Below are 22,000 nucleotides of genomic sequence, written 5' to 3' on the forward strand. Positions count from 1 at the left end.
CAATAGCAGAAGAACTATATTTATTTATAGTCTGAATTGTTTTTGTAAATGTGGATAGATCTCGTTGGGCTTTGATTTGTTTGGTAGGCAGAGAGAATATATTTTTCAGCTGAGGGAAATCAAATTGTTTTAGAATTTAAATATCAGTGATTTAAGTCACTGTTCCCTCTTCCTGTATAATTTTTTTTTTCTGAAATGCAATAGGTCATCTAACCAGTAGATCATACAAAATCCTGTGATGATATTTTTTAAAACACTTTTCAGGAAGCTTATAAAATATGTAACTGGATTACTCAAGTGAAAGTAAGCTGTCAGAAGATGTGGAAGTGAGTCAGGCTGGAAGTAGAGGTAAGAGACGAAAATCACTATAGCAGCAGACTAGGGCAAGAGTCATTAATGCAGCCAACCACTATATTTAATTCTGATCTTCATCATAGACAAGGCCAAAAAACCAAAGGCAGTGAGATATGAAATAAATCTATTGGGGAAAACGTTCTCTTTCCTACTATTAAATCTTATAAGAAACTTATATACGCTTACATGAGACAGAGAGATGTTAAATTTGCTGCATATAACAGGAAAACCCCAAATAAAAATGATTTAAACAAAGTAGCAGCTATTTATTTCATGGGATATAGGGAAACCCAGTGTGCCTCAGGAGTCTTCGTGGTGTCATCACAGACCCAGGCTCCTATTTTCGGATCCATCGTCTTCAAGATTTGTGGCTTTCATCCTCACAGTATCCAGCAGTCCAAGATGGCTGCTGAACTCTGACCATCACATCTGAGTTTCAGGTGGTCAGCAAGAAGAAGGAAACTCCAAAAGTTATTTGTCCCTTCCCATTTAACAAAATTTTCCAGGAGTTGTATGCAACACTTATGCTTCTATTTTATTAGTTAGAATTTAGTCATGTGGCCACATCATGTAAGGGTATAGGCTTGGCTGGGAAAAGTAGTCTTTTTCTGGATAGTAATGTGTAACAGTAAAAATACTTCATAAGCAACTGATAGTCACTGTCACAGACAGGGAATAACAAAATGGATGATGTCTTTAATGATAGTTTTACAGAAAATTCAAATATGGTATTTATAGAAATGCGTTACCAGTGGCAAGAGAACAGAGTCCTGAGGCCACAAAATATTGGTGCATCTGTACTATTTTACTTAGCTCAGGTCTTGGGCATTTCTTCAGGAGAAGTAAATGCTGAAGCTCCAGAGAAATAATTACATATTTAACATGTTGGCTCTAGTTCACTTCCCTAGGGACCAACCAGCTTTTAAAACATGAAGTTCTAATAAGGAAAACATAAATCCAGTTCTTACCCATGAGATGTAATTGATGCATAGTCTTATATTCTTTTGGCCTTCTAACAGGCAATAGCTACACAAAACTTTTACCCGTGGTTTCTGTAATAATTTAATTGTGGAGAAAGTGCTTTGTCCAAAGCAAACAGGTAATCCAGATGTCAGGAGTTCCCCCTAACCCTTTAGGTCTAATGAAGATTGATTTGAGCCCCGTTGTCTGGACTGTGGAAGACCAGAGCCCTTTCCAAGATTACCATGAGCTTCAGAGGGACTCAGGTTCTTATGGTCACCTCTGGTTCTGAACACCTGCTGGTACAAATTGATTTTTTTGTTGTTGTATTTTTTTTTTTTTTTGAGACAGAGTTTCAGTCTTGTCGCCCAGGCTGGAGTGCAATGGTGTGATCTCAGCTCACTGCAATCTCCGCCTCCTGGGTTCAAGCGATTCTCCTGTCTCAGCCTCCCAAGTAGCTGGGATTACAGGCATGTGCCACTACGCCTGGCTAATTTTTAGTAGAGACAGGGTTGCTCCACGTTGGTCAGGCTGGTCTCGAACTCCCGACCTCAGGTGATCTGCCCTCCTTGGCCTCCCAAAGTGCTAGGATTACAGGGGTGAGCCACCACGCCTGGCCCAAGTTGTCTGTTTTTATAGATTAACTTGCTCATGTTGTTCTTCTTGCATACTGTGTGGAGGCTGAGGTAAGACCTGGATATTTTTCTTATTTTCCATACACATAAAAATGCAAATCAAAAGAAAATCTATAACAAAACCAGAAAACTCCCATACAAGGTAATTTGTGGGTCAAGGACTTTCCTGAAATATATCAGAGTAGAAAAGTACATCACATGTACACGGACAATTTTAAACAGTAGACATATTTTGGATAAAATGTCCTTTAGCCACCACGCCATTGGAGACATTTTCTTGGCAGCTTTATTCTCATTTCTGCTTTTGCTAATCCCTTCTTATATGGTTTGGCTGTGTCCCCATCCACATCTCATCTTGTAGTTTCCATAAAATCCCCACGTGTCGTGAGAGGGACCCTGTGGGAAGTAATTGGATCATGAGGGCAGTTACCCCAATGCTGCTGTTCTTCTGATCGTGAGTTCTCACGAGATCTGATGTTTTTATAAGGGGCTTCCCCACATCCACCTCGTTCGGCACTTCTTGCTGCCGCCTGTGATGAAGGACGTGTTCGCTTCCCCTTCCACCGTGATTGTAAGTTTTATGAGTCCTCCCCAGCCATGCTGAACTGTGAGTCAATTAAACCTTTGTTGTTATCACAGGCAGCCAGATTTTGTTGGTGTCATTCCTACATTGAACTACCTTTGATCTATGGCTGCTTTTAGGATTTTAGCAGTGAAAATGAAAGCCCTTAGGAGGCTGAAATTAGATTATGAATGTGAAAGACAAATCACAGTGCCTGCAAATAAGTGCACGGTAGTTATTTAATAAGTGTTAGGTATTGTTACTAAACAATCTTCAATCGATACTGCTTTTCTCATTGAGAGAAATGTTGAGTCTGTTTATTCTTCTGGTGCAGAGTAGTTTTAATTTGAATACAGAGACCTCCAGAATCTGGATTTGGGGACTGAGCCTAAGTCAGGAGTCGTGGTCGGCTGGTTCTCAGGATGTGTCAGTTCTTGAGGTGATTTTGTAGGAACACTGAACTAGCTAGTTCTCTGTTACGGCAATCAGTTTTGAAAATGCAGCAGCTAGCCATTTAAGAATCAACCAGGTGAGCACTGACCATAGTCAATTAACTAATGTAGCGAGAGGGAAAGGTGATAACTATCTTTTAAAGTGTCTAATATCTGACTAAGCTGATCTGACTAATGATAATTTATTTTGAGCTTCACAACCCAAATGAACAATAAAAAGTTACAACCAGCCAACATCTTGAAAATGTCTTCGCCTCTGTATCTTCACTTCTGCCTTGCAAACCTCATCTCTTACTCTCTTCACTAACTTCCTCTCTTAACCTGCCTTCTTTTTCTCCCTCTTCTACATTTATTATTCTTCTGCCTCTTTAGATCCCTTGCTTTAAGTCATGATTTAAGAACTATAGTGCTTTCCTTTTCCTTAGAATTTATTACACATATTCAATAAATGACCAATTTCACTTTTAAAAGTAGGTAGATTGAATATTTTCTTCTGTAAATAAAGCAAACTGTCTAGTTATTTTTTGCACTCAATTGATTTTCCTTGTACAATGTTATTCCTTAATTGAAAATGGCTTATTCTAATGGGTCCAAATGTTTCTCCTCCAGACTGTGTTTTGTTACCTCCCTATAGTTTCTCAAGTTATTTAACCACCATTTCTTGAAAATTTGTTAGATGTTGGACACCAAGACAGATGCTGTAGATTAGATTTGGCTCCCTTCCTCAAGGAGCATGTAGTATATGTGGAAAACAAGACATAAAATACACAATACACAATTTAAAATACTGGTTCAAGACATTATATGTAAACTCCCTACTGTATGTCTTGTTAAGAGGTTTAAAACTTAAATATGCCAGACCCAGGTTAGTGATACAGTTATATTGTCTCTAATCTCCTAACAGCAGACTAAACTATGATAAAAGGCACTTCCCAGTGCTCTTTACAAGGAAAGCAAAACATGGATTCATTTTCTTTTAGAAATAAATCTATAAGGGTGGCACAGTCATAAGTCCTATTAAGCAGTGATATTTTCTCTTTTCTGAAGATTATTACAGTAGATTTTGCCCCATATTCTAGATTCACTATCTCTGGCACTCACTCAAAATAGAGTATCATTTAAAAGAAAGACACTTCTTTCCTTATATATATGACTAATATTTCATCTAAAATGTCATTTTAGATCTAATAGTCAAGTCCCTGGTCTCAATTAGGCGAAGGTAGTCAGATTCTCTATAAAAGGAACTCAAGACAGAAAAAGTAGCTCCTTTTTTTTTAATGTAATAAATGGAAAAAAATACTTTCTTAGGTTACTCACTGGTTGTCTGGGATAGGTAATAAATTATGTAGCCTCAATAAGTCTTAACTAGCAAGAAAAAAGCATCCTTCCTTACTGAAATCTTCGGGGTAGATGAGAGAGGCTGACCACTTTCACCCTGAAGATATGTGTTTTAAACTCATCCTTGCACCTGAGAGGCTCACAGATGTGGCCTCACCTGAGATCACAGGTCAGTGTGGAGAGAGCCAGATAAGGATAGATCAACTTTCATACATCTTTCATATATCCACTTGGATTTCGATTTATTCTATAAAAGCAATTGATTTCTATATGGAGGGCAGGGGCAATATTACAGGGTAGGAGAAGTCATTGTTTATGTATCACAAGCAGTTCTCAAAAATAGTGCTTCCCTGATTTGCTTAACAAAAGGCAGATTCCCAGAGCATTTGAACTACCTTGGGCATAAGGAGAGAGGGAGTTGGGTAGGAGTGGGGCAAATGGAAAGCTAGAGATTATAGGCATTTGACACGTTAAGAAAGATGGTGCAGTAGAATGAAATAGCATGAGGAAGAGAATACTGGCTTGACTAAAGAGAGAAAATAACTGAGAATTTCAGGACCTTTGGTGTAAGGGAGAGCTAGATCTATGAAGGAGCTTGAAACTAAATGGGAATCTATTGTTTAGTGGGCCTGAGATGTTTCTGATTTTGAAGTGTGTGTGTGTGTGTGTGTGTGTGTGTGTGTGTTTAAATGGTAATCAATGCATATTTTCAAATGTTTTCGAGACTTACAAGGATATACAATAAAAGTGCTCCTATAATCACTGCCTCTTAAACCACCCAATCCCAATCTTGGAGGCAACTGATATTACCAGTTTTTTTGTGTGTCCTTCCAAAGATGTTTTATGCATGTATAATATGACTATATTTATTCTCTTCCTTTGCCAATATGGAGGAAAGCTTTTTGAGAGTTACATGCTTTGAATAAGAGAGAAGCTCCAGAGCATTAGAACTGGCCAGAATGCCAACTCATTTTCTTGAGAGATAAAAAGAAAACAGAAAAATAATCTGCTGAAAATGGAGCAATACATACAATAGTTTGAATGAGGGTGACTATTAGATGTCCCTATTTATTTGTATTATGGAATATATTGGGGTATTGTGCCCTGCCTGGTGTTACTAGACATACATTAAAATAGAGGAGGTATAACTTATTAAGGGAGTACCATCTGAATGGCAAGGTAACCTAAGCAAAGGAGGACTGTCCTTTAGAGCTCTGTCACATTATAGTTTAGATAGGTTTTCCAAGATTTATTATGCAATATTCATTTTCAGGACTTCAGGAATTTAATTTCAAAGTTATACCTAGAAAGAAGAAGTAAACGTCTTTGACCTATTGAGTTCTTTTTATCTCTGGTTATGATATAGCCTGTTTTCTCCTTAAATTCCAACTCCTCAAGGCCAGAAACTGAGCTTTATTTATCCTTCTATTTTCTACTTAGTCTAGTGATTAGAATATGGTAGATACTCTGTAAATATGTGATGGACGAATGACTAAATGAATACGTTTCTAAATAATCAACCAATCCATCAAACCATCTATGGCTTAATTTCTTTACTTTCCAACAGTGAGTATTTTCATTTCAGTTTTAATTAAAATATGGAAAAAGGCATAATCATTCAGTTTTTAGTATTGCTCTGTGGCAAAATTTCATGAAATTCACGGTGGCCATTCTTATGTTAGTTTTGCTAGATTAACATATCTTAAAATTCTTTTCTTTTTCTGTTTTATCTTCAGTTTCCAAAAGGGCAAAATATCTGTATCTGGAATAAAAAGCAAATTTAAAAAAAGAAATTAATTAAGCACTTAACATTTTTTTAAACATACATTTTAGCATTAGAGGGGTGATAAAATCAATCATTTCAAATGTGCTGTATGAGGGGGGTTCGATTTAATTCATTTACTTAAAAGGTGACGCAATCTGCACAATTAGAATATCAATAAAAACACAGCTGTTACATATAAAACAAACTCTGAAGGAATTTCCATTATTATGATTGCTAAAACCACAACAACAACAACAAAAAAACATGCTTTGCACAGCTTTGTTATCAGGAACCTTTGCATTTGACATTTTGGAAGCAAGAAAAGGGAATGGCTTGACAAGTTGAAAAGCCAATTCATCATGATGTCTGACATTTGGGAGCTGATATTATCGTCTGCAATTTAAAGTTCAGAATTGATAAAGTGCAATCATATAGCCCAGCAAACAAAGGGTCTTATTGAAATGTATGTACTCTGGGAAAACAACATCGAGTCACAAAAACTTGATGGTTTTGAATTTGAATGTTTATTCCTCCTCCTCTCATCCCCAATTTCTCCAAAAAAGTGAGTTTCTACCTTCTGCAAAAAACAAAATTGTACGTACAAAAAACCTGATTTTATATAGGGGGATTTATGAAGGGGGATTTTATATAGTGGATCTAAAAATACACTATATGACCTTTCTCATCATGGTTAAGAGACTTTTCTTAAACGTATATCATGTGATATTTGTTGACTATTTGTTGGCTTTGTTTCTTATCAAAATATGAAGGCACATGAAAATATGTTCAACGCCACTATGGAGATTCTGTGTAATAGTTCTTACGCTGCTGTGTGCTTATACATAAGGTTTACTGGTTAGGGATTCCTATCTGGTAACATTAGCAGGCATTTTTGGGAGCATTTGCATCAGAACATAACCAGTTGGAGAAATTCTTCAGCAACTACAGCCTCAAAAGTCACAGAAGGTGCCTCTGAGTGCTCAGATGATCTCCTGTCCTTGAATCTGGTCATCCACTTTCCTTTTCATCAAAGGAATCAGCATTAAGATTGGGAAATGGGCATCAATGATTTTATGTTCATTTCTGTCCTTGTCTAGCAGTGACGATTCTGCTGCTCTCTCAAAGTTTGGCTTGCTTCGTGTACTGTGCCCAGATTTCTTGCACTTACTCTTGGATCAACAAAGCAAAATATTCCTTTTATTCCTTTCTTACAAACACTGCAAGAAAAAGCACCTAATGATTTGTACAATTGACAACTGCAACCATTGCTCTAGGGCAGAGTGAGGAGAACTCATATTCTCTCTAATGTAATCTAGAAGTGCCTGTTCATCTACCTTATGACTGAGGCATGCATTTCATTGCTGCTCTGTGATCTAATTCAGAGGAGAGATAGCTGCTGCATTTACAATTGATATATAAAAATAGCTGGTTTCACTAGACACTATCTGACGTCAACGGAAACATTAAAAAGCAGTGACCAGTCTGCAGAAAGTCTTGGTTGAAGCTAGTGCAGCTCAGTCTGCAGATACTTAAGCCATACCATTTTTTCCTTTTGACAAACAGCCATCTTTTCCTATTGCAAGGTAATTTTCATCAATCATTTAGCAAATATATGGTCAAAGTTCAAGCTCTTTTCACTACACCATAGTGCATAATTCTGTGTCGAAGTTTAGCCACGTTTGAGAATGATTCATATTCTGTGGATATGTTAGGAATGGATTTATGAGGACCCTTGGAAATTTCTCAGTAGAATCCTATGTAATCTGAAGCCCACAGACTAACTTTTACTATATTAGCTTCCACCATTGGCTTTTCTAGAGGTGACTGATGCAAAAAGCCATTAGACTCTTAATAGTGACCAATGTAGTGCTGAGGTCCTCTTGCAAAATCTTTCCAGGATATGGAGCTTACACCAGGAACCAGATATGAATATAAAAATGCCAGACAGAGTCAGGCTCACGAGTCTGCCAAATCTGTTACTCTGTAAAACGTTCTGCTGCCCTTCCTCCAGTATGAAGTCTCTTCCCCATTCCTCACTATCAAGCTAAATTTGATTCTGCAAATGACCCTAACAAGTCTTGCCTGACCACTCTGACATATTATCTTTCCCCTTCCTCATCAGACTACTCCAGTTCTTGGTCATTGATCTAGCTGAAACTGTCATCAGCTCTCTCTTAATTGCACTTTCCCAAAAGAATGCCTGCCTGACTCCTGTTCACACCATCTTTCAACATACCTTAGTTGCAATTTTTCTTTTTTTTGAGACGGAGTCTCGCTCTGTCACCCAGGCTGGAGTGGAGTGGCGCAACCTGGGCCGACTGCAACCTCCACCTCCCGGTTTCAAGCGATTCTACTGTGCCAGCCTCCCGAGTAGCTGAAATTACAGGCATGTACCACCACACCTGGCTGATATTTTTATTTTTAGTAGAGATGGGGTTTCACCATGTTGGCCAGGCTGGTCTTGAACTCCTGACCTCAAGTGATCCACTTGCCTCGGCCTCCCAAAATCCTGGGATTACAGGCATGAGCCACCATGCTTGGCTGTAATCTTTCTAAAATACCAATCTGATTATGTTAGCCCCTGGCTTGACAACTGTCAATGTCTCGCTGTGTGAGAGATCCCCTACCTTTATGTCTTTTAACCAGGCCAACTCATCCATATCCTAGCCAGAGGTCAACTAAACAAATCTTTGGTCTTTTAGGCCTTAGAATTGTTGATTTTTATTCTCCCCTTGCTTCTGTTATCCAATCATTCCTGCAACCACTTGCCTTGTGATACTCTTCCCTTTTACCCCTCACCTTTGACAGATTTAGCTATCTTAATGTTGGGCAGTTGTGTTCTCTTTTAAACATGGTTTCTACTAGTCTTATGAATGCTCAGATGACCACTCTGCTTCACCAGTATCCAAACCTTGGCCTCATACTGGAACATGATTTACCACCTTCTTGGAAATGAATTAGGTACTCTCCCATTACATGCAGAATAAAACCCATGGCACGATACACAAAACCCCAACCCACCGTTCCAGACTCTCCTTCCACCAATTCCTACCATACACCTGTATATCAGCCACATAGCCCACCACAATCTTTCATTCTTTCATCATTGTGCCATGCTGTGTCGTATCTTGAAAACACTTCCACTATTCTCTATTTGACACATTAATCATTGAGTATCAAACTTAAATGTCATCACCTCCAACCAATTTAATTGATTCAATGTATATGTTCCCTTGAAAATGCATATTTATCTCTAGCACACGTGCTTTGTAACGGCTTCATGTTCATCTGTTTTCTTCCCTAAAACTTGACTTTCCATAATGAAAATCAAGTGGTATATCTTTATATCCCCAGCACACAACAGAGTCTGTCAAATGATGGTTCCTCAACAAAGTGTTTGTTGATTGAACAAATAACCTACACCATACATTTGAGCATATCTTGATTTTTTTACTTGTACTGTCCAATAATTAAGTGTATGTCATCTATGCATTATTGCCTTTGATTACTCACAAGCATGATGTGCTGCAGGTATTATTTTTAATTACCTGTATACTACCTTGGTCAGTGTTCAGAATTTACATTTGATGAACTATCTTTTTTGATATTATCTTCTGGTTTCGGTTTTACCTATAATATTTTCACTTATTAATATTTCCTTTCAAACTTAAAATTTTAGCCTTTATCATTTCTTAGGAAGGCACTTAGATGATGGAGGATTAAAGTTTGTTATGCCAGTTAACCTGGAGGCCCAGGTGGAGGAGAATATTTGTCACTATAGAGATGTGTAATGATACCTCCTTTGGTCATGTTTGTGTCCTGCAGTCATTATTTAATTCAACATTTAATAATTGAGAGATAGCTTTGTTTCAATCCAGACTCTGTTTCTAAATAGATCTGGAGATTTTCATGTTGTTCTTCAATTTGTGTGTTCAGCCAGTTCACGCAGCTGCCTACTCAAGACTATCCCATCACAAAAGTATCTAAAACTCATTATGTTCAAAATGTGAACCAATGATCCATCTTTCTAAATGTGTGCATTCTGGAATGTCTTCCATTTTTATATTTAACATAACAATTTCCTGATTTTTTTCTAATTAGAAACTTGAGAATACCTTTAAATCCTTTTTCTTCGTGACCACCCCCCATATTCAGTCTAGCATTAAATCCTGTGTTTTCAAACCCATCCATTTTTCTTCACCCTCATTGTCATTATTCTAATCCAAACCATCATTGTCTCTCTCCTGAATTCTTGCAAAGTCCTTTTATTTGCTTCCTCCAATTTATTCTGCACATAGCATCCTAGGAAATCTTTTAACAAACAAATATGATTACTTCCCTCTCTTACTTAAAATCCTTTAATAGCATCTGATTGCCTTTAAAATAAAGTCCAAAATGCTTCTCATAGTCCACATGACTTTGCATAACCTCTTCAGTTCCATCTCAGCCTCCTCCAGCCTCTGTTTTCATGAGCCTCACTGAAACTATTCCTGATATACAAGCATTTCATGCCTCTACTTAGGCTGCTCCCCATGCTCTTCCTGAATCTTCCTCCCTCTTCACCTGGCCAGTACCTACACATCCTCTGGAACTCAATTAAAGCACCACTTCTTCTAGAAACCTACTACGACCCCTAGATTAAGTTAGGTACTTCTTTTGTACGTGCATTCATCTACAACTCATAACTTTCACATATATATTTTATCACGTTTGTAATTATGTAATTGTGTAATAATTTCTTTTAGCTTTCCCTGCTATCATGCAAGTTTCTTCCAAGAGGACAAGTATGTTTACATATTGCTCACCTCTGTATCTATAGAATATAGGAGAGTACCTGACAAATAGTGGTGTTCAATTAAAATACTAATTCACTGAATGAATGAATGGATGTCTCTTTTCTGTGAGGGTTCAGCTATTAGTTGAGACTCTGAATTTTTAATTTAGGCTTGGGCGAAAGATTAACATCTCAATGGCCAAGTTGATGATACTGTCACAGGATACTTGGGGAGTTGCTTCTCCAGGCAGAAACCTCTGTGGCTGGCAGTGCCTTATGCCTGAATATTGCTTGTGCCTGCTGGGCTCATTCCACCCACTCAGCCTGGTAGGCTGTACTCAGCTCGTGCTACTGGCTTGGATCCTACACCTGCCAAGGGCCAGCCAGGTACAGAGAGGCAAGAGGTCTGTGGGTGAGTGAGCATGGGTTCCGGCCACTGCACACAGCCAGGTGCTGGCACAGGTGTTGGCTCTGTGCAAGGCTGTGGCTGGACCAGATGTACCACACATGGCTTCTGCTCTGGGCACGTGTGTCTGGATGAGGGGAATGTGGTGGATCCTGGAAGCTTGCATATGTCAGGAACCACAGAGTCAAAGAAAGTGTCACAGCCCTGGCTTGGGGAGCCCCTAGGTCTGGGCTCCCCAGAGGGCTGCAGCTCTACTTTCCATCTTGTTGCCTGCAACATGGTGAGGTGGAGTGGGGGGCGGGCTTCAGCCCTGTTTGTGTTAGAGCTCTTTCAGTCCCACCATTTGGCAGGTCCCGAGGTCTTGTCCTGCATCTAGGAAAAATGAGGTACACAGACAACTGGAGGGTGAGCAAGGTGGAGAGGAGCTTCACTGGATGACAGAACAGCTCTCAGGAGACCCAGAGTGGGTAGCTCCTTTCTGCAGGCAGGTCATCCTGATGAGTGTCCAGTTCTCAGTGAAGAGGAGGCCCGTAGTGGGTAGCTCTCTGGACCGGGGACTCTACCTGGAACTGGCAGCCTGGTTTCTAGGCTTTGGGCCATCCCTGCATTGAAAGTGGAATTTCACCTGGGACCCGCCTCTTTCTGCTGAGAAGCCTGTCTGCCTCCTGCTGCCATCAACATCATCACAATGTCACAGCGCCCAGGCTGTTCATGGCTCAGGGGTGCCTGTGGGCTCTTGCTGAGCCACCCTCACCCCTGCTCAGTCTCCCTCCCATGCTCATCAGCACTCAAAGTCTGGAGGGAGCCAAGGTGGCAGGGGGCTGGCCTGTCAGTGCCACTGGGAGTGTGTACACACCAAGTTGGGTAGTGACAACACCTGGGCTCGGCCACAACTTTGTTCCACCCAGGAGCAGGTGCTGGGAGGAGGGAGAGGCCAGGGAGTGGGAGCAGGTACTTCTGAGCCTGTGGGGGACAGGGGCATTTCCTGAGCCCCCAAGAAGGCAAGAATGCCCCCATACAGAGCCTCAGCTGGGTGCTGCAGTTGCTCCCAGGAGTATGGGGCTCCCACCCCCCAACTCAGTAAGGGGCAAGGCTCCCACTAGCTCCGTGGAATGTGCAGCCCCAGCTGCACCTACCCGGCTGCAGCTGGCATCTTTGCAGCAGCCACTCCGGATGGGCCACTGCTGCCATCAATAACGGGTAAAACATATTACAGGTTATTCTTTTTGGTAAAATTGCTTTCCTTTTGCTTGCCTTGGTGAAAGCTCTTCACACTTGAAAACAGCATATATAGGAAAACAGTAGGTTCTATCAAGGTTTTCTCAAAATAGGAAGAGATATTGTGATTCTGAACTTGTGTTAATTGCTGAGGTTGGCATATCATTGAAAAGTTGTACCTTGCCCTTTTGTTTAGGTGCTGCAGTAACTATGTTTGTATGTTATTGTGCAGATACATGTTTTAGCTAATCACTGAAAGCCACCACTAAGCAGCTGTCGATGGAAAATGCAGAGCAATCAAATCAAATCAATAAAGATGGCTGAGAGCAGTTGCAGAAAGAGGGTGGTACAGACTTCATATGGTCTGACCTGTTTCAGGCCACTTTGTGTTTTTGGCTTAAATACATTTATTGTAACCATTTTGCTATTGGTAAGTATTTCAGGAGTCTTGAAAAAATAGAATAACTTTTTTTCTTTCTTATAACTTCTATATTTAGTGCAAAGATCATGAGCTTTGGCATCAGGCAGTCCTGGGTTTAAATTCTACTTAGAGATTTTGTAATGCTGAGAACATTGTTATCCTTTAGGAGGCCTTGCTCCTTTTATTGCATGGTTATCAAGGTTGAAATAAATAACATGTTCAAAATAACCAGAAAGCTTGATAAATGTCAGTTTCTCATTCCACACACCATCCCTTGAGTTTTTACTTTTATTTTTTCTTTACCTAAACTCATTTACCTGGTTTTTCTGGTCTGTGGGGCCCTTGGTAACCTTCTTTAATTTCTAAGGTATTGGAAATTAAAGAAATTACTTTTCTACTTGAATATTGGGTTACAGATTCTCCAGAATTCTATAACTTAGGGAAATTTAAATCTTCTTTAAACATATTAGTAACTAGTAAAAGATACTAGTTCTCTATTTTTACTGATGAAGAGTCTGTTTCGACTGACTAAAATCTTTAGAATCCTTCTTTAATATGCTATATGGCCACAGTTGATCAATTTCTAGTTGAATATTGTAAGCTTAGGTGAACTAAGGTCATCTAGAATCTTATTGATTTAATATAGTGGGAGGGAGATAAATGGCTGAGAGAAAGATGGGCAATTATAATGGAGTCTAGTACAAAGATCATGGGATCTGTAGTCAAATCCTGGGTTAAAGCCATCTTTTGCTCATGTAAACTTGAATAGATAATTTAAAATCCCCAAAACTCAGTTTCTTTATTTATAAAATTGGATACTTAGTATACAATTATACAAAATAATTAGTAAACAGTCATACTAAATCATAGTATTTAGAATGCCTTCCCTGTATAAAGTATTTAAATTTTATACATGCATTATTTCATTTAACAGTCACAAAAACTTTACCAAAATTGGACACTAGAACTTTACTTAGTATCCAATTTTGGTAAAGTTTTTGTGACTATTAAATGAAATAATGCATGTATAAAATTTATATACTTTATACAGGCAAGGCATTCTAAATACTATGATTTACTTTTTTCACAACAGAAGGTAAAGTGTAGTTCCCAATTTAGGCCTTTTTCTTGCATATGCAAAGGAGTGTCTGATTATGTATCTGGGAAAGAATATAATGAAAAATAGAGGGCAGAGGAAAGGGGAAGAAAGCAAGCAATATTTTTTCAATTCTTTGAATTTCCTAGGGCATGATATTCTAACTCATGCTTATCTGGTAGATGCTTGGAGGGAAGGAAGATGACTTTGGGTGCATCTTCCATCATCACGGTGTCCGGAATTCCTGGATGCCTACCAGAGTAAACTGGTTCAGCTTTTTCTGAAGCAGACATTCCAAGCAACAAAAGAGGCTCCGTCCTACCCCTCACCCGTAGACTTGATCTGGTGTCTATTGAGCTGCTGGGATTGGACAAAAAGATGGATAAGCTGGTCCCAAAGATTTTTTTCTGAGATGGGGTCTTGCTATGTTGCCCAGGCTGGTCTGAAACTCCTGGGCTCAAGTGACCCGCCTGCCTCAGACTTTCAGTATTACAGGCATGGGCCACTGTGCCCATCTTCTACAAAGCTTTTAAGTGATAGGAACAGAGCCTAGTTTTAGCCCCATCCCAAGGGCCCCATGGGACATAGTGGAATTGACTGGGCAGTCATTTGCATAACCAGGTTCTATTCATTGTGATACCACTCCCTGAATTCTCCTACTCTGGTTACCATTCAGCATTGGTAATTGGGGTAGATGAGATGGAGGTAGGTATCTTAGAATTAATGAAAACTAGAAAACAAAAAGGATGATAGATGACTAATACCCTTTTAGCCCTCTGCTTACCTTCAACAACAATTCACTCTTCCTCTCTCAGCTGATAAATTTGCTTTCAATTTCACTGAGCAAACTGTGGCAATCAGAAGAGGTCCACAAGTTCCCACACCACATCTATCCACCAACTGGCATCCTCACCCTTATACTCACTTTCCTCTTGCTGTAGATGAGGTGTCCGTGTTCCTAGTAAGGACAGCCTCTTCAATTGTTTATCAGATTCCAGCCTTCTCACATTCTCAGGAATATTACTCCAGAAATGCTCCTCTCTTGCATCATCAATTTTTTTCTCCAGTTGAATTATTTTCATTCATCTACTTATATGCTATTATTTTAATAATCTCAAATAAACCCTCTCTTTACCCTATTTTTCCCTGTAGCCTATCACTCCATTTCTTTGCTCTCCTCTACCACAAAACCCCTAAAAAATATGGCATATAGTCACTTCTAGTTCCTCCTTTCTCATTCTCTTTTAAACCCACTCAAATTGTGTCTTTGTTTCTATCATTTTAGTAAAGATGCTCTTGTCAACAATGATTTCAAGTTACTAAATCCAAAGGTCAAATTCTCAATCCTCATTTTATTTGTCCTTTCAGCAGCATTCAACCTGATAAATCACATATTTCCTTTCTTTTTGAAGTGCTTTTTTCACTGGGCTTTCAAGACACCACTCTCTACTGGTTTTCATCCTCCTTATTGACCATTCCTTAGTCTTTACTGATTCCACTCTACCTCCCTCGTTTTAATATTGGAGTGTTCCTCGTCTCAGTAAATGATCTTCTTCTTTTCTCTAGTTGCACTCATTTCCTTGGTAATCTTATTGAATCTCTTGGTTTTAAGTCTTAATAACTCATTAATGATTATCAATCTGGATCTTTCTCGTGAAATCCAGACACATACATGCAACTGCTCTCTTGACATCTGCCCTTGGAGTTTCATGGGTACATTTAATTTATCACATCTAGAGCGGGTCTCTGAACTTTACCTGCTTTTTACTTTTCTTCCCCCTTTTAGCTCATATCAAATCAAGTTTTCTTAGAGTCGTCCATGCTTCTTCTTTCCTTCTCACACCATAAAAAAGTTCAAATAGATTTACCCTCACAATATACCCATAATCTACCACATATTTTCACTTCTGCTGTTACTGGCCGACGTCATCATCTGTTACCAGAATTGCTACAGTAGACTCCAAACTGGTTATCCGTTTCTACTCTTGTCCCCTTCAGTCTCTTGTTAACACAGTGCCCAGAGTCATCCTGTTAAATCATAATGCAGATGATGTCAACAACTTCTCATCTCAAATAGAACCAAAGACAAAGTTCTGTTAAGGTCTATAAGGCCCTACATGATGGGTCCTCCGTTACCTCTGGACAAAATTCTATTATATCATCCCCCTTGCTCTGTTTGATCTTACTACAGTGGCCTTCTTGCTGTTCTTTAGCATGCCAAACACATATCCATCTGAGGATTTTGCACTTCTTTTCCAATTTGTGCCTCAGCATGTGCTACCCAGAAATGGAGGCATAGAGCTTATGTGATGTTTTCAGGGAGTTCAATCCCAGGGCACAGGTGAGAAGGGCAAGAAGAGTGATGCAGGGAAGGAGGAAGAACCAGGGCAAGGACACGTTATTGAGCCTGCTTCCAGTTACTGCAGTTAGCTGCTCAGTTCACTGGCATACACTCTTGAGCAACCTTGAGTGTTCCTGGGGAACACAAAGGAAGAAGAGCTCATCCAGATGATCTTCTCTTGCATTGGTTGAAGTTTATCCACGTGGATAAACTTCCAACTTGCACTTCCATGCCCTTCCAACTTGCACATGTGTGGGTTTAAGTGCTCACGAGTCTATAGTACTATCAATGGGAAGCCCTGGGGCAGAATAAAAGAAGTGAAATCAATCAGAGCCCACACAGAGCAGGAACAAGACACATTGGGATCTCAGAGATATATAAGAGATGTTGGATAAACTCTTGCTGGAGTGTTCTTCTCCAGGTGTTGGTATGGCTCACTTTAGCTTTGAACAAAGGTGTTCTTTTCTCAAACGCCATCTTCTCAGTGAGATGTTTTCTCACCTTCCCTTTTAAAATTGTAGTACCCTATCCCCTTTCACTGCTTTATTTTTCCCATATCACTTTCTAAAATGCCATAAATCTACTTTTTTATTTTGTTTATTGCCAGTCTCCTTCACTAAACTTTAAGCTACAGGAGAGCTGTGAGTTTGGTGTGCCTTATTCATAGTTGTATCTCCAGCCTATCACATAAATAAATACATTCAGTAAGTACTTTGTTAGTGGATTATTTATAGAAATTATTGAAACTGAGGTGGTGAGCTTTTGTGATAAGCTTTGAATTAGATATATGAAATATGTTAATCAATGCATAGATTATGTGTTTCTTTTGTCAAATAATCAAATATCCTAAGCATTAAAAGATAGGGTGCAGTATTTCTTAGGTGGATTCTAAAGCAAATTATTGAATGAGAAGATACATTAATGTTCACTGATCAACAAGACATTTGTTTACACAGCTTCTTTATTTCTCTAAATTGCCTTTTATTGAGCGGTTTATTAAGTCTCTGTGGAAATAACCACAAGGGTTGGCAACAAACTTATTCTTTGTTCTGCCCTCTCTTGGATGTTAACAGTGGGTCCCTGTGAGTTAGACAGTGATAGAAGGCTTATTAACATCACTTTCTGAGAAAAAGGGAATGTGGAAACAAGAAGGTGAAATGAAAAAAATTAGTAAAATTAGATCCCATAAGCTTACTTAAGAATCATAAATTATGATATATGTTATTAAAAATAGTCATTATTGATCTTCCTTAGCTATTCTAATGCTGCCAGAAGTAATGATGTCCTCTGCAATTATAAATGAAGGGAAGGGAAGGAAAGCAAATAGTAGCAATGGCACAGCTATTTTATAATTTTCTTCTAATCATTGACATTATTTTCTTCAGGGGCCATTATAGAGTACTGATGAGTCATTGATGTAGACATGCCCACATCCTGATTCAATGATTTATTAGCTTATATGGACTTGGTCAAGTTATTGAACTTGTCTAAGTCTTGATTTCCTTATTTGTAACATAGAGATGATAATATTCAAGCTTAAAGTGTAAATTTTTGATAAATAAATTAGAAAATATAAGGAAAGCACAAATACATAAAAGATATTTGATAAACTCTGCCTGGAGTTTAGGTCCTCTACTGTTAATGTTTGTCAGAAAACAGCAATGTAAAAATAAACGGTACGAAAAGCATGAAGTAAGAAAGAATAATTTAGATATAATATTAATAAGACTTTTAAAATAGAAATAATAATTCTATGTAATGATGGTTTCAATTTTATTCATAATAAACATAAAAAGCATTGTAACAGGCTAAGCATTGAAGGTCACTATGTTTAAGTGTTATACAAATAGAACGTATCATGTGACATATTTAGCCTCCAGTATTTTGGTGTTCCCTTAGCACTTGTATAATTTAGAGAAACTCTCTTGTCTCCACAAAAGTTAGTGTCCTAGCAGTCTAGAATACCTCATTAAGCAAAACATGATTGAACTCAGTTTACAAAGTAAGAAAATTGGCTAACCAGATGTGCCAATTATCAGTTTATTGCCTCAGCTCCAAATTCATATTTTAGTGCCTGCTTTGTGATAATATAGACTTTAAATAGGTTTTCTTTGTTATCTGGCTCAATGTTAGGCTTTACCAGTGGAGGACTTGGAGGGAGTTTAGAGGAAGAAAGTGTCATTTTCTTCCTGGTCCCAGTTTGTTCCGCCTGCCAGGATCCTGCAGCATGGTTTCTCTAGTACTGGGCTTCTCAATGCCCAGCTCCTGCAGTGCCCAGTTCCTGCAGTACACGGTGCCCAGAAGCACTCACTGACCAACAGCTGCCCCATGGAGCCCCTTAGATGGTTTTTTCAGCAAGGCACCCATGAAGGGGCACATCTCTGTGCACAGTTTTCCCTGAACCCTCTTGTGCAACATTGCAGCAAATTCTGAGACATTACCTCTCCCTCTGGATGGTTTTCTTCAGAGAGCAGACTGCCATCAGGTTCCAATGGCACAGCATCTCAGCCCCTTTTCTGACATCCAGTGAGCCATTGTTTTGCCCTCCCCAGTGAAGTATGAATCTCAGCTCTTTGGGAAGTTCTTACTTGGATGCTGTACTTAAGCCCTAAGGGTGAGTATTGCTCCTTATTTCTGCTATTCTTATATTCCTTGTAGTTCTCCTTACTTCATGGTAGCCTGCTGAGACCAGCTCGGTCAGGGAGACCCTAACGCATCAGCGCTAGAGGAATTAAAGACACACACACACAGAAATATAGAGGTGTGGAGTGGGAAATCAGGGTTCTCACAGCTTTCAGAGCTGAGAGCCTCAAACACAGATTTACCCAAGTATTTATTAACAGTAAGCCAGTAATAAGCATTGTTTCCATAGATTATAGATTAACTAAAAGTATTCCTTATGGGAAATAAAGGGATGGGCCGAAATAAAGGGAGGGGTTTGGCTAGTTTTCTGCAGCAGGAGCATGTCCTTAAGGCACAGATCACTCATGCTATTGCTTATGGCTTAAGAACGCCTTTAAGCGATTTTCTGCCCTGGGTGGGCCAGGTGTTCCTTGTGGTCATTCCAGTAAACCCACAACCTTTCAGCGTGGGCATCATGGCCATCATGAACATGTCGCAGTGCTGCAGAGATTTTGTTTATGGCCAGTTTTGGGGCCAGTTTAAGGCCAGATTTTGGGGGGCCTGTTCCCAACAGTAGCCAATATCCCATTTCTTCAATCCTCTGTTACAGTTAATAATTACATATTAAACTTTATCTGTTCAACTTAGTGTGGTTTCTGTCTCCTGTTTGTTTCTAACAGAAACACCAGAGTCTATCTGGTGCTATATGAGACAATGAGAGAGCAAACATGTTCTGTTTAAATGTCACTTTTAAATTTGTTAACACAGGGTTCATTCTGTTATATCTCTTGAAGTGCAATGTTTTGAAAAATGGTAAAATTTATTTAAAGAAGGACTATTGATCATGTAATCATTCTACCTGAGAAGAGGTCTACAGAAAAATGCAATGAAGAGAAGTTGTAGAAAAAATAGACTATTTGAGCAGAGTATACGAAACCATTATTTTTTAAAGTTACTTAAAAATGTGAGAATGTTTCTGAAGTCCAGGACTTGTATTTCTTTTTATATTTTCAGCATTGTAAGAAAAAATATTTCAAATGAATTTTTATATACTAATAATTTAAATTCTATTTCATGCTATTTTGATTTAAATTAAGTTCACTGAACAACTAACCTACTGAATTGTAGAAGGATCTATCAAAAGAAAGATGGATGATATATATTATTTTGTAACACATGGTGAATATTTCAGCATTTCTTTAGGTTATATACCGAGTTTTAGTGGTCTGAACAGTATCCCTCCAAATCCTTGCATACCCTGAATCTCAGAATGTGACCTGGTAAGGAAATATGGTAGTTTCCCCTTACCCATGGGAGATATATTCCAAGACGCCCAGTGGATGCCTGAAAGCAGGAATAGTACTAAACACTGTACATACTACACACAAATTTATTTTTCCTTCTTTATAATTTCATGGATAGGAGATGCATTCTTGCCATAGATCTTAGCATCCTCATCATACAACTTATTTTTCTTAAGAATTTTCACCTTTTTGCTTAAAGGAAGCACTTTATGGCTTCTCGTTGGCATATATGAATCATCAGCATCCCTACCCTTGTGCTTTGGGGCCATTTTTAAATAAAACAAGAAATAACTTGAACATAAGCACTGCGATACCAAGAAAGTCGATCTGATGACCGATCAGATGGGGACAGAGTGAGATTCCTTATGCTACTCAGAGTGGCAGGAAATTCAAAACATATGAATTATTTATTTCTGGAATTTTCCATGTAATATTTCCAGACCACAGTTGACTGTGGGTAACTGAAACCTCAGAAAGTGAAATGGTGAATAAGAGAGGACTGTAGGATTTTTACAGATGTAATTAGTTAAGATGAAGTCATACTGCATTAGGGTGGTCCCTACATCCAATGACTGGTGCCCTTGTAAGAAAAGGAGAGGACACAGAGTTAAACACCAAGGGGATGATGTAATGATGGCAGCAGAGATTGGAGTAATGCCTTGACAAGCCAAGGGATGCTGAGAATTGCCAACAACCACCAAAAGCTGGAGGAGAAGCATGGGATGTTTTTTTTTTTCCTTTGAGCCTCCAGAAATAACCAATACCGTTGACACTTTGATTTCAGACTTTTGGTCTTCGGGACAGTGAGAGAATACGTTTTTGTTCTTTAAACCATCCAATTTGTTATGGAAGCCTTGGGGAACTAATGTGCAATTACCATACGAAGTACTGGGGATTCACAGGTAAATAAGACAAACATTCTTGTGCTCATAGGGCTGCTGATCATATTTTGATATTTTCAGTATTAGTTTAAAAACTTATTTTTATTATGTGCTTTTGATTAAGAAGGTCTTTTTCTTATAACTCCATAAGAAATTGTAACTGCTGAAATAGTGACCAGAATTTGGGAATGTGGCCTTGTGGAAGGCCTTATTAGATGGAGGCATCTGAATTAGATTTAAAAAATATCTTTTAAGAGAAAACCCTGCAGAAAATCCTATGGAGCATCTAAATATTAACACACACACACACACACACACACACATACACGCACACCCCACACTATATTTCATCCACTTTCCTAATTCAGCATACCTTATCTCAGGTATCAGGTAGATGTGGTTCTGCCAACTATTTTAATAGTGACCCTGATATGGTTTGGCTGTGAATGAGTTACAATTCTCTCGTAACTCATCAGGTCAATAGTGACCCTGACATGGTTTGGCTGTGAATGAGTTACAAATTCATCTTGCACTGTAACATCCACAATTCCCAGGTGTTGTGGGAGGAACCCGGTGGAGGTAATTTAATCATGGGGGCAGGTCTTTCCCATACTGTTCTCATGATAGTGAATAAGTCCCATGAGACCTGATGGTTTTAAAAATGGGAGTCTCCCTGCACAAGCTCTCTTCTCTTGTCTGCTGCCAGGTGAGACATGCCTTTCACCTTCCGCCATGATCGTGAGGCCTCCCCAGCCACGTGGAACTGAGTCCGTTAAACCTCTTTTTCTGTATAGATTACCCAATCTGAGGTATGTCTTTATCAGCAGTGTGAAAACGGACTAATACAGACCCCAAGAACTGAACTGATGAC

At 39.0% G+C, this 22,000-nt stretch overlaps 2 long non-coding RNA genes across 3 annotated transcripts; one reads left to right on the forward strand and one right to left on the reverse strand.

Moving 5' to 3' along the window:
- The first annotated feature begins 2,457 nt into the window (after window positions 1-2,457).
- Window positions 2,458-21,270, forward strand: LOC124900969 (uncharacterized). The gene is made up of 3 exons (XR_007058749.1): window positions 2,458-2,520; window positions 18,790-18,936; window positions 21,033-21,270. It is a non-coding gene; the product is annotated as an uncharacterized LOC124900969 (long non-coding RNA).
- LOC102723740 (uncharacterized) lies at window positions 5,840-15,854 on the reverse strand. 2 transcript variants are annotated; one of them, XR_007058748.1, is made up of 2 exons: window positions 15,739-15,854; window positions 5,840-6,063 (listed from the first exon to the last, which is right to left on the reverse strand). It is a non-coding gene; the product is annotated as an uncharacterized LOC102723740 (long non-coding RNA). The 2 variants fall into 2 exon arrangements; XR_925953.3 differs by lacking the exon at window positions 15,739-15,854 and adding an exon at window positions 14,907-15,153.
- Window positions 21,271-22,000: the final 730 nt, after the last annotated feature.

This window comes from Homo sapiens, chromosome 5, assembly GCF_000001405.40.
Source record: "Homo sapiens chromosome 5, GRCh38.p14 Primary Assembly".
Taxonomy (NCBI): Eukaryota; Metazoa; Chordata; class Mammalia; order Primates; family Hominidae; genus Homo; species Homo sapiens.